Genomic DNA, 14,814 nt, shown 5'->3' with positions numbered 1-14,814 from the left:
TCTAATATATATTTATTAAAGAAAATACAGGCCGGGCACGGAGGCTCACACCTGTAATCCAACATGGTGAAACCCTGTCTCTACTAAAAATATAAAAATTAGCTGGGCATGGTGAGGCGCACCTGTAGTCCCAGCTACTCAGGAGGCTGAGGCAGGAGAATCGCTTGAACTTTGGAGGCGGAGGTTGCAGTGAGCAGAGATCTCGCCACTGCACTCCAGTTTGGCAACAGAGCAAGACTCCATCTCAAAAAAAAACCAAAAAAACAAAAAATGTCCATTAAATAAACACAGTTTCTTAAAGAAATAGTGTTGATTAAATAAAATATAATCCCCCATATTATTCAAGGCAACCATATTAACATTTTAATTTATTTCCTTCTAGTTTTCTCTATATATATATTTATACATTTTTAATATTTTACAAATTTTTTTTTGAGACAGAGTTTTGCCCTGTTGCCCAGGCTGGAGTGCAGTGGTGCAGTCTTAGCTCACTGCAACCTCTGCCTCCTGGGTTCAAGTGATTCTCTTACCTCAGCCTCTGGAGCAGCTGGGACTACAGGCACACGCCACCATGCCCAACTAAGTTTTGTGTTTTTAGTAGAGACGGAGTTTCACTATATTGGGTAGGCTGGTCTTGAACTCCTGATCTCATGATCCACCCACCTTGGCCTCTCAAAGTGCTGGGATTACGGGCGTCAGCCACCGCACCAGGACCTTTTTTTTTTTTTTTTTTTTTTTTTGAGACAAAGTCTTGCTCTGTCACCCAGGCTGGAGTGCAGTGGCATGATCTTGGCTCACCACAACCTCTTCCTCCCGGGTTCAAGCAATTCTCTTGCCTCAGCCTCCCAAGTAGCTGGGACTATAGGCACACACCACCATGCCCAGCTAATTTTTATATTTTTAGTAGAGACAGGGGTTTCACCATGTTAGCCAGGATGGTCTCGATCTCCTGACCTCGTGATCCACCCGCCTCGGCCTCCCAAAGTGCTGGGATTACAGGCATGAGACACCGTGCCCGGCGACACCCTACAATTCTTTAAACTCCCAACAACTCAAAGGAACAGATATTATTATTACTCCCATTTGCAGATGGGTAAGTAGAGGCACAGAAAGATGAGAGGATTTGCCCAAAGACTTGGCTGGTATTTGGCAGAACCAGGATTCAAACCCAACAGGCAAGAGCAGAGTTGTACACTTGACCTAGCTATTCTGCTATTCTGCCTAATGAGGTTCTTTTTTCTTTTCTTTTCTTTTTTTTAAATTTTTTTTTATTTTTTGAGACAGAGTCTCACTCTGTTGCCCAGGCTGGAATGCAGTGGTGCGATCTCGGCTCACTGCAACCTCCAGCTCCTGAGTTCAAGCAATTCTCCTGCCTCAGCCTCTTGAGTAGCTGGGATTACAGGTGTGCACCACCACACCCGGCTAATTTTTGTATTTTTAGTAGAGATGGGGTTTCACCATGTTGGCCAGGCTGGTCTCAAACTCCTGACCTCAAGTGATCTGCCTGCCTTGGCCTCCCAAAGTGCTGGGATTACCAGGCGTGAGCCACCGCGCCCGGCCCTAATGGGGTTCTGACAAAATCCAGGAATTCAGTGCAGGGTGGGCGGACCTGTGAGTGTGTGAGTGAGGGATATGCGTACTTGTGGAGCCACAGATATGCACATGTGTACTCACGTGTTCACCGTGAGTCTGACGGCGTGGGTGCATGCATGTGTTAACCAGTGCTCTGCTGACATCATGGTGCCCAAGCACGTAGAGATGTATGTGCCCATGGATTCCCCTGTCCAGGCTCCCACAGGACCTATCTCCTTGGTTTCTCCACCTTCCCCTTGGTACACAGGAGGCATGAGTGTCCAGGAGGGGCCAGGGTTTGGATTCCAAAGCCCAGCTGCCACTTCCTTATTCCCACCATGTCTCCCAAGAGTAGTTAGGGTCTGGACTCTTAAAACATCAAGCTGGGTGGGAGGCGGTGGCTCACACCCTTAATCCCAGCACTTTGGGAGGCCGAGGTGGGTGGATCACTTAAGGTCAGGAGTTCGGGACCAACCTGGCCAACAAGGCAAAACTCCGTCTCTACTAAAAATACAAAAATTAGCTGGGCATGGTGGCACACGCCTGTGGTCCCAGCTACTTGGGAGGCTGAGGCAGGAGAATTGCTTGAACCCCGGAGGCGGAGGTTGCAGTGAGCTGACATCATGCCATTGCACTCTAGTATGGGCAACAGAGCCAGATTCTGTCTCAAACAAACAAAAAAACCTCATCAAGCTGGCCAGGCACAATGGCTTACACTTGTAATCCCAGCACTTTGAGAGGCTGAGGCAGGAGGATCACTTAAGCCCAAAAGTTTGAGGCTGCAGTGAGCTATGATCACACCACTACACTCTAGCCGGGGTGACAGAGCAAGACCTTGTCTCTATAAAAAATAACAAAATAAAACATTAGCTCTTGCAGGGCGCGGTGGCTCACGCCTGTAATCCCAGCACTTTGGGAGGCTGAGGCAGGCGGATCACAAGGTCAGGATTTGGAGACCAGCATTGCCAGCATGGTGAAACCCCGTCTCTACTAAAATTACAAAAAATTAGCCGGGCATGGTGGCACACCTGTGATCCCAGTTACTCAGGAGGCTGAGGCAGGAGAATTGCTTGAACCCAGCAGACAGAGGTTGCAGTAGGCCAAGATCACGCCATTGCACTCCAGTCTGGGTGACAGAGCGAGATTCCATCTCAAAAAAAAAAAAAATCAGCTCTTTATGAAGTAGAGTTGGCATATGGGCCAGGGAAGTCGGAGAACAATGTGGTTTTCCCCAGGAGGCAGCACCCACAGCTTTTAGCCCTATCTGGCCTCCACTGTGGGTGGCTGATATCTACTACCACAGTGGAGGCCATATGGTCCTGGTTAAGAGTAAGCTGTAAAGTGAAACTGTTGGGTTCAAATCCCAGCTTTGCCACTTAGCTGTGTGATTTCAGCAACTTACTCTCGGATCCTCTACTTCCATCCCTGTGAAGTGGGAGTATTATAATAGCAACAACTTTGAAGGGTTTGGTATTTTAAATTTATTTTTATTTTTTATTTTATTTATTTTTTTAATAGAGACAGGGTCTCCCTATGTTGCCTAGGCTGGTCTCGAGCCCCTGGGCTCAAGTGATCCTGCCACCTCGGCCTCCCAAAGTATTGGGATTACAGGTGTGAGCCACAGTGGCTGGCCCCCTGAAGGATTTGTCGTAAGGCTGAAATAATGCTGAGCTCAAACTCAGTGTTCAATAAATGTTAGTTTTATTACTATTTTGAACCCATACTAGACAAGTAAAGGGCAGAGAAATGTGCTTTTCCAGAAGACAGTGCCTTTGTCATACGGGTAAATTATCCAACCTTGTGAAACAGGTATTATTTTCTTTTCTTTTTTTTGAGACAGAGTTTCACTCTTGTCGCCCAGGCTGGAGTGCAATGGCATGATCTTGCCTCACTGCAACCTACGCCTCCCAGGTTCAAGCGAGTCTCCTGCCTCAGCCTCCCAAGTAGCTGGGATTACAGGTGTGTGCCACCATGCCCAGTTAATTTTTGTATTTTTAGTAGAGACGGAGATTCACCATGTTGTAGACATGTTTGTATGTTTAGTAGAGACGGAGTTTCACTGGTCTCGAACTCCTGACCTCAGGCAATCCACCCACCTCAGCCTCCCAAAGTGCTGGGATTACAGGCATAAGCCACCACGCTTGGCCCCATTTTATTTTATTTTTTGTTTTGTTTTAAAGAAATAGAGATGGGATCTCGCTATGTTGCCCAGGCTAGTCTCAAAGTCCTGGGCTCAAGTGATCCTCCTGCCTCAGCCTCCCAAAGTGCTGGAATTACAGGTGTGCACCACTGCACCCAGTCTGTGCCCATTTTATGGATGAGGAGACTGAGGCTCAGCAGTATGCAGTAACTTGTCCCAGGTCACAGAGCAAGTAAGTAACAAAACCAGATTTCACTTGCTGGTCTGCCTCCAATTCCAGGGCTCTTTCTGCCACCCAACAGCTGCCTTGTTGTTTGGCCTAGAAGCTTCATCCTGTAAGCTCTGATTTGCGCAGATTATCTGCCACCTACATGTCTTTCTCTCATGTTGCCTACTCACAAGAGAATATGTAGGGATTTGCAGGTGGTCAGATTTTATGGGAAAAAAAATAGACATTTCCACACAGAAAAGAAACTCCAGGGAGACAGTTGAGACAGTTAGGCAGGGAGTTCTTGGAGGAAAATGGGAGGTTCAAAAGGCAATTAATGCTACTGTCTGAAACTGTAAACAGATAGTTACTGGCTCTGACACCACCAGCACACAGACAAAAGGCAGACAGAAACAGCGCACCACAAGGAAGCTGGGCATAGACTACGCCCAGGGTGGAAATTAAATGTTTTCCTGAAAGCAGAAAGGAAAACCATAGTTAAAGCCAATCCATGACTCTAAGTCTATGACTCCATGACAGCATAAGTCCAGTGAGTAAAGGCCCTTCATTTGCACCTAGGCGTTGTTATGAATCTTAAGGCCTTACTCCACATTCTCTCTTGACCTAAGTTTGTAAAACAAAAGTAATAATTAGAAGTGACTCTTCAGCATATACTGTTATTTTAATCAAAGATAGATATACACACACACTATATATGTGTGTGTATATATGTATATAGAGGATCTATAGTATATATCCTCTATATACATATATATTATAAATATATATGTATATATATTTATCTATATATACGTATATGTGTATATATGTATATATGTATATAGAGTATATATATTTATACTCTATATACACATATACATATATATACACTATATATATGTGTGTGTGTGTGTGTGTGTGTATATATATATAACAGACATGAGCCACCACACCTGGCCCCATTTTGTTTTATTTCTTGTTTTATTTTCAATAAATAGAGATGGGCTCTCACTATGTTGCCCAAGCTGGCCTCAAACTCCTGGGCTCAAGTGATCCTCCTCCCTCAGCCTCCCAAAGTGCTGAAATTACAGGTGTGCACCACCATATATATATATGGAGAGAGAGAAAGATGTGTGGCTGGGCACAGTGGCTCACATCTGTACTTTGGGAGGCCGAGGTGGGAGGATCGCTTGAGGTCAGGTGTTGAAGATCAGCCTGGGCAACATAGCGAGACCCTGTCTCTACAAAACAAAACAAAACAAATATACATATATTGTTTGTTTTGTTTCGTAGATACGGAGTCTCACTATGTCACTCAGGCTGGAGTGCGGTGGCGTGATCTTGGCTCACTGCAACCTCCACCTTCCGGGTTCAAGCGATTCTCTTGCCTCAGCCTCCTGAGTAGCTGGGACTACAGGCTCACGCCACCGCACCTAGCTAATTTTTGTATTTTTAGTAGAGTCAGGGTTTCACCATATTGGCCAGGCTGGTCTCGAACTACTGACCTCATGATCCACCCATCTCAGCCTCCCAAAGTGCTGGGATTACAGACGTGAGCCACCGCGTCTGGCCCATATATAGCACACGCCTGTAATCCTATAATCCCAGCACTCCGGGAGGCTGAGGCAGGTAGATCACCTGAGGTCAGGTGTTCGAGACCAGCCTGACCAATATGGTGAAACCCCATCTCTACTAGAAATACAAAAATTAGCTGGGCGTGATGCTGTGCCCTGTAGTCTCAGCTACTCAGGAGGCTGGACGGGAGAATTGCTTGAACCCAGGAGATGGAGGTTTCAGTGAGCTGAGATCGGCCACTGAACTGTGGCCTGGGCAACAGAGCAAGACTCCGTCTCAAAAAAAAAAAAAAAATATATATATATATATATATATGTACATATATATAGACAGAGAGAGAGAGAGAGAGCACACACATTGGCACATTGTTGGCAAGTTTCCTCAGCATTCCTAGTTGTAAATGACAGAAAACTCACTGATGCAAACAAAGCAAAGAATCATAATAATTATTATTATTTACTGATTTACAACTGGATCAAGGAGTTCAAAGATTCCAATTCATGTCCTTGCCATGTCTTGACTCTGCTTTCTTCTGTGGTTTCAATCTCAGACAGACACGCTCCTCCCCAGGGTGACAAGAAGGCTCTCAGGAGCTCCACCCATGCTTTTTCCTGTTGGTTAAAAAACAGTGCCTCTCTCCAGCAAAAATCTCAAGTCTCCCACTGATTGGCTCCCATTGGGTCATATGCCTGTTCTTCAACCAATCCTGTGGCCAGGCTGGATCCCAGGGCCAACCCTGGAGGCACAGGTGGGCAGAGTAAGTTCCATCCAAGATACAGGAACTGATATTGGGAGAGGGAGAGTTCCCCAGGGAAAACTGGGGGGCTGTTTCCAGAAGACACATGTTCACCATCTGGTAGTTGCTGCCTCTCTGTTAACCAAATTTAATGAGAAGCTGTCATCAGGAGTAATTTTCTTGTATTTTTACTAGAGCTGGGGCTTCACCATGTTGCCCAGGCTGGTCTCCAACTCCTAAGCTGAGGCAACTGCCCACCTCGGCTTCCTAAAGTGCTGGGATTACAGGCATGGCCACCACGCCTGGCCATGTTTATTTCTTATCTTCATCTCACTTCATCAATGGGCAAATTGACAGAGAGGTTAAGGAATTGGCCCAAGTTTATACAGAGAGTAAGGAGTGGAGCCAGGGCATCCTTTCCAAATTCTGTGCTTTAGTTTCTCCAGGAACTACAGTTAGAGCTGATCTATCTCTCAGAATTGCCAGCTCCGTGCCAATGAGGAAGCCCTGAGCCTTCTAAAGGACCACCTTGCAAGGTTAACCAATGTGGGATGGCAGATATCATCCACACACTCATGAGGGTTTATCCTGGAGCAGTGCCTGGACACTGAGAGGTGTGACAACAAGGCAAGTCTGATCCAAGGACCATTGTGGACTCAGGAGCTGAGATTCCTCGGTAGCCCTGCTTCCCTACCCACAGGAGTGGAGGAGAAAGAGTGCAACGCACAGAGAAGTGCCAAGATTGAGCCCCTAACCTGCCGCTAACCAGCTGTTATGTGTCTTGAATAAACTCCTTTAAGATCTCTGTGGCCAGGCACGGTGGCTCACGCCTGTAATCCCAGCACTTTGGGAGGCCAAAGTGGGCGGATCACCTGAGGTCAGGAGTTTGAGACCAGCCTGGCCAACATGGCAAAACCTCGTCTCTACTAGAAATACAAAAATTAGCCAGGTGTGGTGGTGCTTGCCTGTAATCCCAGCTACTTGGGAGGCTGAGGCAAGAGAATCGCTTGAACCCAGGAGGTGGAGGTTGCAGTGAGCCAAGATTGCGCCATTGCACTCCAGCCTGGGCAACAAGAGCGAAACTCCATCTCAAAAAAACAAACAAGATCTTTGTTTCTACATCCATAAAATGGGCATAATAACACCTTCCTCAGAGGTTAGCGAGGATTCTATTAAATACTGCAGGCAAAATAATACCTGCTTGGCTGGGTGCGGTGGCTCATGCCTGTAATCCCAGCACTTCGGGAGGCTGAGGCAGGAGGATCGCTTGAGCTCAGGAGTTCAAGATCAACCTGGGCAACATAGAAAGACCTCATCTCTACAAAAAATATGAAAAATTAGCTGGGTGTGGTGGCGTGCACCTGTAGTCCCAGGTACTCAGGAGGCCGAGATGGGAGGATCTCTTGAGCCAGGGAAGTCAAGGCTGCATTGAGCCGAGATCACGCCAGCCCGGGCAACAGAGCAAGATCCTGTCTGTAATAGTAACAATAACAATAATAATTCTTGCTTGTCACCCAGCTGGTCTCCATGAGGTTAGTTGTCTCCTTTCCATATTATCCCCCTTCTCCATCCCCCAGACTTAGCAAGAGCAAGGCAAGCGGAGAAAGGAAAGCATCTTTTATCTTCTCCTAGCCGGCCTGGTGGGGTCTCCTCCCCTCCTCCTCTGCCCAGCATCTGTAATAGCACCAAATGAGCACGGAACCTCGCATCATGTTCCTGGGTTTGACTCCCAGCTCAGCCGTCCTCTTCCTAGGCTTGTGACCTTGGATAAGTCCCTGTCACCCCTCTCAGCTGAAGAACATGCTCCCTCATCGAGTCTGATGAAAACGCCCTCCATAAACGTGCCTGGCACATGGTTTGTTTATTCTCTGGATCTGAAACGGTGAAAGAGGCAGAGCTGAGTAGGTCGGGCTGCCTTGGGCATGGCTTTGGTCAGCAGAGGGGCCGGCTTCACGCCACTTCCCATCTCCTGAATAATTCATGACGAACAAAATGACTGGGCCAGACCTGGGCCCTCCCTCCTCCTGTCGTGAAGGCAGAAAAGTTTCTAATTACAGATCAGCCGGCCAGGCTCCCCGGGGCCCCTGGGCGCTGCACACAGGGGGCATTTATGGGAAGAGACCATGGAGGGGAGGGGTTCGGTCCCAGCTCCTTTCCAGAAGAAACTCAACTCCTTTTGAAATTGTAACCTTGGCCTGCTAAGGCCCAGGAAGGGACTGGGGAAAGAAACTTAGAAGAGGAAGAGAAAACCCTGCCGAGGGGTCAGAGAGAAGCGCCCAGAAAAAAATGTCAGGTCAAAGAAGGGGCTCTGGGGACGTCCTGGCAAGAGGAATACACAAGCTGTCAGGGGAGGAGATTTGCTCGAGTCCCGTGGAAAGCATGACAAAGCCGGGCTTCAAAAGGAAGCTGTCCTTCGAAAATACATTGAGAAAGAATAAGATCTAGCGTTCTACCATACAGTAGGGAGACTAGAGTTAATAATTTGTCATAGAGTTCAAAATTGCTTGGCTGGGAGCGGTGGCTCACGCCTGTAATCCCAACACTTTGGGAGGCCGAGGCAGGCAGATCACCTGAGGTCAGGAGTTCGAGACCAGCCTGTCCAACATGGCGAAAGAACCCGTCTCTACTAAAAAAATACAAAAATTAGCTGGATGTTGTAGCGGGTGCCTGTAATCCCAGCTACTTGGGAGGCTGAGGCAGGAGAATCACATGAACCTGGGAGGCGGAGGTTGCCGTAAGCCGAGATCACGCCACTGCACTCTGGCCTGGGCCACAGAATGAGATTCCGTCTCAAAAAAAAAAAAAAAAAAAAAAAAATTTGCTGGAGGAGAGGAACGGAGATGTTTCCCAACATGAAGAAGGGGTGAATATTTGGGTTGATGGATGTCCCAGTTATCCTGATTTGATCATCACACATTGCATGTATGTATCAAAATACCACATGTGCCCCCAAAATATGTACCATTATTATGTATAACTTTTTTTTTTTTTGAGATGGAGTATCGCTCTGTCGCCCAGTCCTGAGTGCAGTGGCGCCATCTCAGCTCACTGCAAGCTCCGCCCCCCGGGTTCACGCCATTCTCCTGCCTCAGCCTCCCCAGTAGCTGGGACTACAGGCGCCCGCCATCACGCCCGGCTGATGTTTTGTATTTTTAGTAGAGACGGGGTTTCACCATGTTAGCCAGGATGGTCTCAATCTCCTGACCTCGTGATCCGCCTGCCTTGGCCTCCCAAAGTGCTGGGATTGCAGGCATGAGCCACCGCGCCCGGCCCATGTGTCACTTTTTTAAAAAAGGAAGATTTCTTGACTCCAACACCACAGCCTCTCAGTTACACTACAATTTACTCATTCATCTGTAAAATGGGGAGATGCCCAATAATGCTACCTTACAGCATTATTGAGGAGTTACACAAGTAAATAAATGTCAAGTGCTTAGAATACTGCCTCACACATAAACTAAAAATATATATTAGTAGTTGTAGAGTTTTTTTTTTTATATTATGCTCCCTCCATAGAGTGGTCAGTAAAGGGTGAAGGTGACAAGAAGAGAAGATTTGGGGAGATTGTTAGAGAGAACAATGATTGTGAGGTAGTTTAGTATAGTGATTAAGATGAGGACCCCATACATAATACCGTAATAATAATAATAAAAGAGGTCAGCTGCGGTGGCTCATGACCGTAATCCCAGCACTTTGGGAGGCTGAGGTGGGCAGATCGCTTGAGTTCAGGAGTTCAAGACCAGCCTGGGCAACATGGTGAAACCCTGTCTCTACTAAAACTACAAAAATTAGCCAGGCATGGTGGAGGGTGCCTGTAGTCCCAGCTACTTGGGAAAGTGAGGCATGAGAATTGCTTGAACCCAGGAGGTGAAAGTTTCAGTGAGCCAAGATGGGCAACAGAGCGTGACTCTGTCCAAAAAAAATAAATAAATAAAATAAAAAAGAGGCCAGGTGTGGTGTGGTGGCTCACGCCTATAATCCAGCACTTTGGGAAGCTGAGGGGAGTGGATTGCTTGAGTTCAGGAGTTCAAGACCAGCCTGGGCAACATAGTGAGACCCTGTCTCTACAAAAAGTACAAAAATTAGCTGGGCGTGGTGGTGGGTACATGTAGTCCCAACTACTTGGGAGGCTGAGGTGGGAGGATCACTTGAGCCTGGGAGGTGGAGGCTGCAGTGAGCCAAGATCGTGCTGCTGCTCTCCAGTCTGGGCGACACAGTGAGACCCTGTTTCAAAAAAATTTAAAAAGTAAGGACTCCAGCACTAGTTTGCCTGGGTTCAAATCCCAGCTCTGCCTCTTACTAGTTGTGTGATCTTGGACAGGTTTGCTGTAGGTCTCCGAGCTCCTATTCACTGTCTGTAATAAACGGTAGCCACTGCAGTTAGTGGAGAGTGGTGAACAAAATGACCAAGGTCCCTGTCCTCATGGAGCTTACAGTCTAGCAGGAAGGTTATACTAATCAAGAGCGTTTATTGCATGCCAACTGTGTGCAGGTCCTGTGCACTTGGCAGACATTCTCTTAACGAAATTTCACAGAATCCACCCCTGTCTTACAGATGAAGAGGGTGAAACTCAAAGAGGTCACAAGCAGAGAGAGGATTTAGAACTGAAAGGTCACTCCACAGTATGGATGAATCACCACATTAGCATGGTGAGCGAAAAAAGCCAGATGCAAACGAGTACACATTGTATGATTTCATTTATATGAAACTCTAGAAAATGCAAACTAACTTATAGTGACAGAAAGCAGATCAGGGGTTGCGTGGGACAGGGTGGGCGGGGCATTCACTGCAAAGAGCCTGAGGAACCTATTTGAGAAGATGGAAATGTTTTACATCTGACATTGATACTAGTTACATGGGTGTATGCATTTGTCAATGTTCATCGAACTGGACACTTAAAATGGGTGTATTTTCCTGCATGTAAATTATACCTCAATGAAGCTGATCTTTTCAAGGGGGTGGGGAAGGTATACCAGACTCCAGAGCTCTGCAACCCTTCCTATATTATTTGAGTGTCTGATTTCAAGCTCATTTGTGGGCAGAGACTGTAATAGATTCATCTTTAGGTCCTCCCCTCACTTCCCAGCCTGAGGGCCTAGCAAAATTCTTTTTTTTGTTTTTTTTTTTTGAGATGGACTCTGACTATGTTGCCCAGGTTGGAGTGTGGCAGCACAATGTTGGCTCACTGCAACCTCTGCCTCCCGGGTTCAAGAGATTCTCTTGCCTCAGCCTCCCAAGTAGCTGGGATTACAGGCGACTGCCACCACATCTGGCTAATTTTTGTATTTTTAGTAAAGACGGGGTTTCACCATGTTGGCCAGGCTGGTCTTGAACTCCTGACCTCAGGTGATCTGCCCGCCTTGGCCTCCCAAAGTGTTGGGATGACAGGCGTGAGCCATCGCGCCCAACCAAAATTCTTAAACCCAATAGTTCAGATTAGCAAATATACCCTGGGCACCTTCTCTGTGCTGGGTGCTGCGGTCACAGACCAATCAGTCTAGTGGGGAACACAGACGGAAAAGGCCAAATAGACACAGTACAGTGGGTAAATGTGCTGATGGAGTAAACAGTTCATTACTGGGCCACAGCAATGAATCCTGCATAGAGTCTGGAACTTGGGATGTGAAGATCTCAAACTGCAATTCATCACCTGCATTCAAATCTCCACTCTACCGCTTGCTGTATGACTTTGGGTGACCATTTTAGCATGCCAAACCTCAGTTTCCACCTCTGGAAAATGGAGATCATAGTAGCTCCAATCTAGAGGGGTGTTATGAGAATTAAAGGAGACAGCAATAAAATGTTTAGCATGGCAGGCATAGTAAGTACTTCATAATTGTTAGTCATTTTTATCATGAATGAAGAGCAGGGAGGTGGGGAGAGGCACACGGGGTGTGTGTATGTGTAGTGGGGTTTCACTACCCAACCTGAGGTGAGAGAGGACTGAGAGGTGCTTTCCCAGAGAGGTGATGCTTGGAGGAGGAATTGGCTAGTTTAAGTGGCCATGGGGGCAGGAGGGAGTGGGAACAGCTTGGAACAAACGCTCAATAAATATTTGCTCAATAAATAAAAAAACAGAGACTGTGCAAAACCTGCCTGTAACCAAGGGGACAGAGAGGGCCCGCCAGAGGAGACTGGGGGGTCCTCAGGAGGCGGGGGCTGGGTGGCTGGCCCCCACAGGCAGGCTCCAGACCTTCCTAGCCTGGTCCGACCCCACCCTGTGCCCTGCCCAGTTCCCCTGATAGGTTTGGACAGCCCCAGACCTGAGGCCTGGAGCCCACGGGAGGAGGAACGGTGGGGAGGGCTGGCGGGACGGGGGTGCTCACAGGCCTTCTCCCTCTAATGAGAAACGGCCAAGTCCCCGCAAGGCGCCTCCCGCGCCCCCGTTGTCCGAGCCACAAAGGACCAGGATCAATGGAAGGCGGGAGCGACCGAGGGGCCTCCTCTTTGTGCGGCTGTCTCAGGCCTGTTTGCGCCGCCGTCTCCGCGCCCCCATTGATCAGGCATGTGGAAAGATTCCGCCTCCCGGGCTCCCTTTGTGGCCGCGTTGCCAGGCTGCGCCCGGAGTGACTGCACCGCGCAGGGTGTACCCGCCTGCGGTGGGCACCGGGCTGCGAGACGGGGTGGGATCCCAGGAGGGCAGGGTGGCCAGATTTAGCAAATAAAAATACAGGACTTCCAGTTAAATGTGAATTTCTGATAAATAACAAAAGCAGACAAAAAACAAAGTATAAGTATGTCCCAAATATTGCATGGGACATACTTACACTCAAAAAGTATTGGTTGATTATCTGAAATTTCAACTTAACTAGGCGTCCTGTATTTTGTCTGGCACCCTTTGAAGGGGAAGCTGAATACATCTGCATTGCCTAGCACTTATATTACCCCCAACTTCAGTGGTTGAAGTTTTGTTTGTTTGCTTGCTTTTTGTTTTTTATTTTTATTTTTTGGCCATATCTGCACACCCCGAACTGCTATTTAGATAGAATTTTTCTTTAAATAAATTTATTTTTTAAAAATCTTAACCTGGCCGAGCTCCGTGGCTCAAGCCTGTAATCCCAGCACTTTGGGAGGCTGAGGGGGGGAGGATCACTTGAAGCCAGGAGTTCAAGATCAGCTTGAGCAACAAAGTGAGATCCCATCTCTACAAAACAAAACAAAAAACTCCCTTAACCTATTAACCGTGATTTATTGATGCATAGTGCAAATACATTAACTTGAACAAATATGAAATGTACCTGTTGATGCATTTTTGCCTACAAGAACACTCATGTGACCGCACCCACATCAAGATATAGAATATTCCCGGCCAGCAGTGGTGGCTGACGCCTGTAATCTCAGCACTTTGGGAGGCCGAGGTGGGCGAATCACTTGAAGTCAGGAGTTCGAGACCAGCCTGGCCAACAAGGTGAAATCCCCTCTCTACTAAAAATACAAAAATTAGCCAGGGGTGGTGGTGCACGCCTGTAATTCCAGCTACTCAGGAGGCTGAGGCAGGAGAATTACTTGAACCCGAGAAGCGGAGGTTGCAGTGAACCGAAGTGGTGCCACTGCACTCTGGCCTGGGCGACAGAGCGAGACTCCATCTCAAAAAAAAAAAAAAAAAGATATAGAATATTCCCATCACCCCAGAAGGTTCCCTGGCGTCCCTGAGCAGTTGAGCAGTATCCACCTCCCCATTGGCAGCCATAGATTTGCTTTAGCTATTCTTGAACTTCGTATCAGTGGAATCGTATAGTATAATGTGTACACTCAAGTCTAGCTTCTTTCGCTCAGTATTATGTTTGTGAGGATGGGCATGGTGGCTCACGCCTGTAATCCCAGCACTTTGAGAGGCCCAGGTGGGTGGATCAGTATCACCTGAGGTCAGGAGTTCGAGACCAGCTGGCCAACACAGCGAAACCCCATCTCTACAAAAATGCAAAAATTAGCTGGGCATGGTGGCAGGTGACTGTAATCCCAGCTACTTGGGAGGCTGAGATAGGAGAATCACTTGAATCCGGGAGGCGGAGGTTGCAGTGAGCCAAAATTGCACCACTGCACTCCAGCCTGGGCTACAGAGTGAGATTTCATTTCAAAAAAACAAAAAACAAAACAAACAAACAAAAAAAGTCTGTGACATTTGTCCCCATTGTAGATTGACCAGTTGTTTGTTCCCTTTCGCTGCTGGCTGAGTATTCCATTATATGGCTGTTCCACGGTTTGTTCCTCTATTTTCTTGTTGATGGGTGTCTTGATTGTTTCCAGTTTTTGCTATTATGAATAAAGCCGCTATGACCATACTTGCACTGGTCACTGTATGAACTTAAATATATTTAACCTAAGCAATACTATTTGTGAACTCACAGGCTTAAAATGCTACTTTAATTTTTTTTCTCCTGCACATTAAATATATAACGATGACACATGTTTCTGGGAACATCTTTGTATTGACCAAGCTCACTGTGAATGGTCACATATCAAACTGCAGAATAGACGTTAAGAGAACAGACTGGCTTGGGGTAGGTCTCGAGCAAGTGCGTCAGTCCCTCTGGGCCTCGGTTTCTTCATCTGTGCAATGGGGGGTGATAATGTTAATTATC

General features: G+C 47.2%; 7 annotated features.

The window, feature by feature from the left end:
* Positions 2,745–2,945: a silencer, noted in NCBI's record as "peak2005 fragment used in MPRA reporter construct". NCBI's record gives its function as "represses an SCP1 promoter by STARR-seq MPRAs in K562 erythroleukemia cells {active_cell/tissue: K562}" and the evidence as "EXISTENCE:reporter gene assay evidence [ECO:0000049][PMID:32103011]".
* Positions 5,985–6,185: a silencer, noted in NCBI's record as "peak2004 fragment used in MPRA reporter construct". NCBI's record gives its function as "represses an SCP1 promoter by STARR-seq MPRAs in K562 erythroleukemia cells {active_cell/tissue: K562}" and the evidence as "EXISTENCE:reporter gene assay evidence [ECO:0000049][PMID:32103011]".
* Positions 8,097–8,391: an enhancer, noted in NCBI's record as "tiled region #12947; K562 Activating DNase matched - State 8:EnhW". NCBI's record gives its function as "activates a minimal TATA promoter and a strong SV40 promoter by Sharpr-MPRA in K562 cells {active_cell/tissue: K562}" and the evidence as "EXISTENCE:reporter gene assay evidence [ECO:0000049][PMID:27701403]".
* Positions 8,097–8,941: a biological region, named in NCBI's record as "Sharpr-MPRA regulatory region 12947".
* Positions 8,176–8,941: an enhancer, noted in NCBI's record as "H3K27ac-H3K4me1 hESC enhancer chr12:120839499-120840264 (GRCh37/hg19 assembly coordinates)". NCBI's record gives its function as "activates a minimal SCP1, AML or CMV promoter by ChIP-STARR-seq in naive H9 embryonic stem cells {active_cell/tissue: H9 hESC(naive)}" and the evidence as "EXISTENCE:reporter gene assay evidence [ECO:0000049][PMID:30033119]".
* Positions 10,735–10,854: an enhancer, noted in NCBI's record as "active region_7142". NCBI's record gives its function as "activates an Ori minimal core promoter by ATAC-STARR-seq in GM12878 lymphoblastoid cells {active_cell/tissue: GM12878}" and the evidence as "EXISTENCE:reporter gene assay evidence [ECO:0000049][PMID:35858748]".
* Positions 12,110–12,159: a silencer, noted in NCBI's record as "silent region_4949". NCBI's record gives its function as "represses an Ori minimal core promoter by ATAC-STARR-seq in GM12878 lymphoblastoid cells {active_cell/tissue: GM12878}" and the evidence as "EXISTENCE:reporter gene assay evidence [ECO:0000049][PMID:35858748]".

This window comes from Homo sapiens, chromosome 12, assembly GCF_000001405.40.
Source record: "Homo sapiens chromosome 12, GRCh38.p14 Primary Assembly".
In the NCBI taxonomy this organism is placed as follows: domain Eukaryota; kingdom Metazoa; phylum Chordata; class Mammalia; order Primates; family Hominidae; genus Homo; species Homo sapiens.
This window is presented reverse-complemented; position numbering and strand designations above follow the sequence as displayed.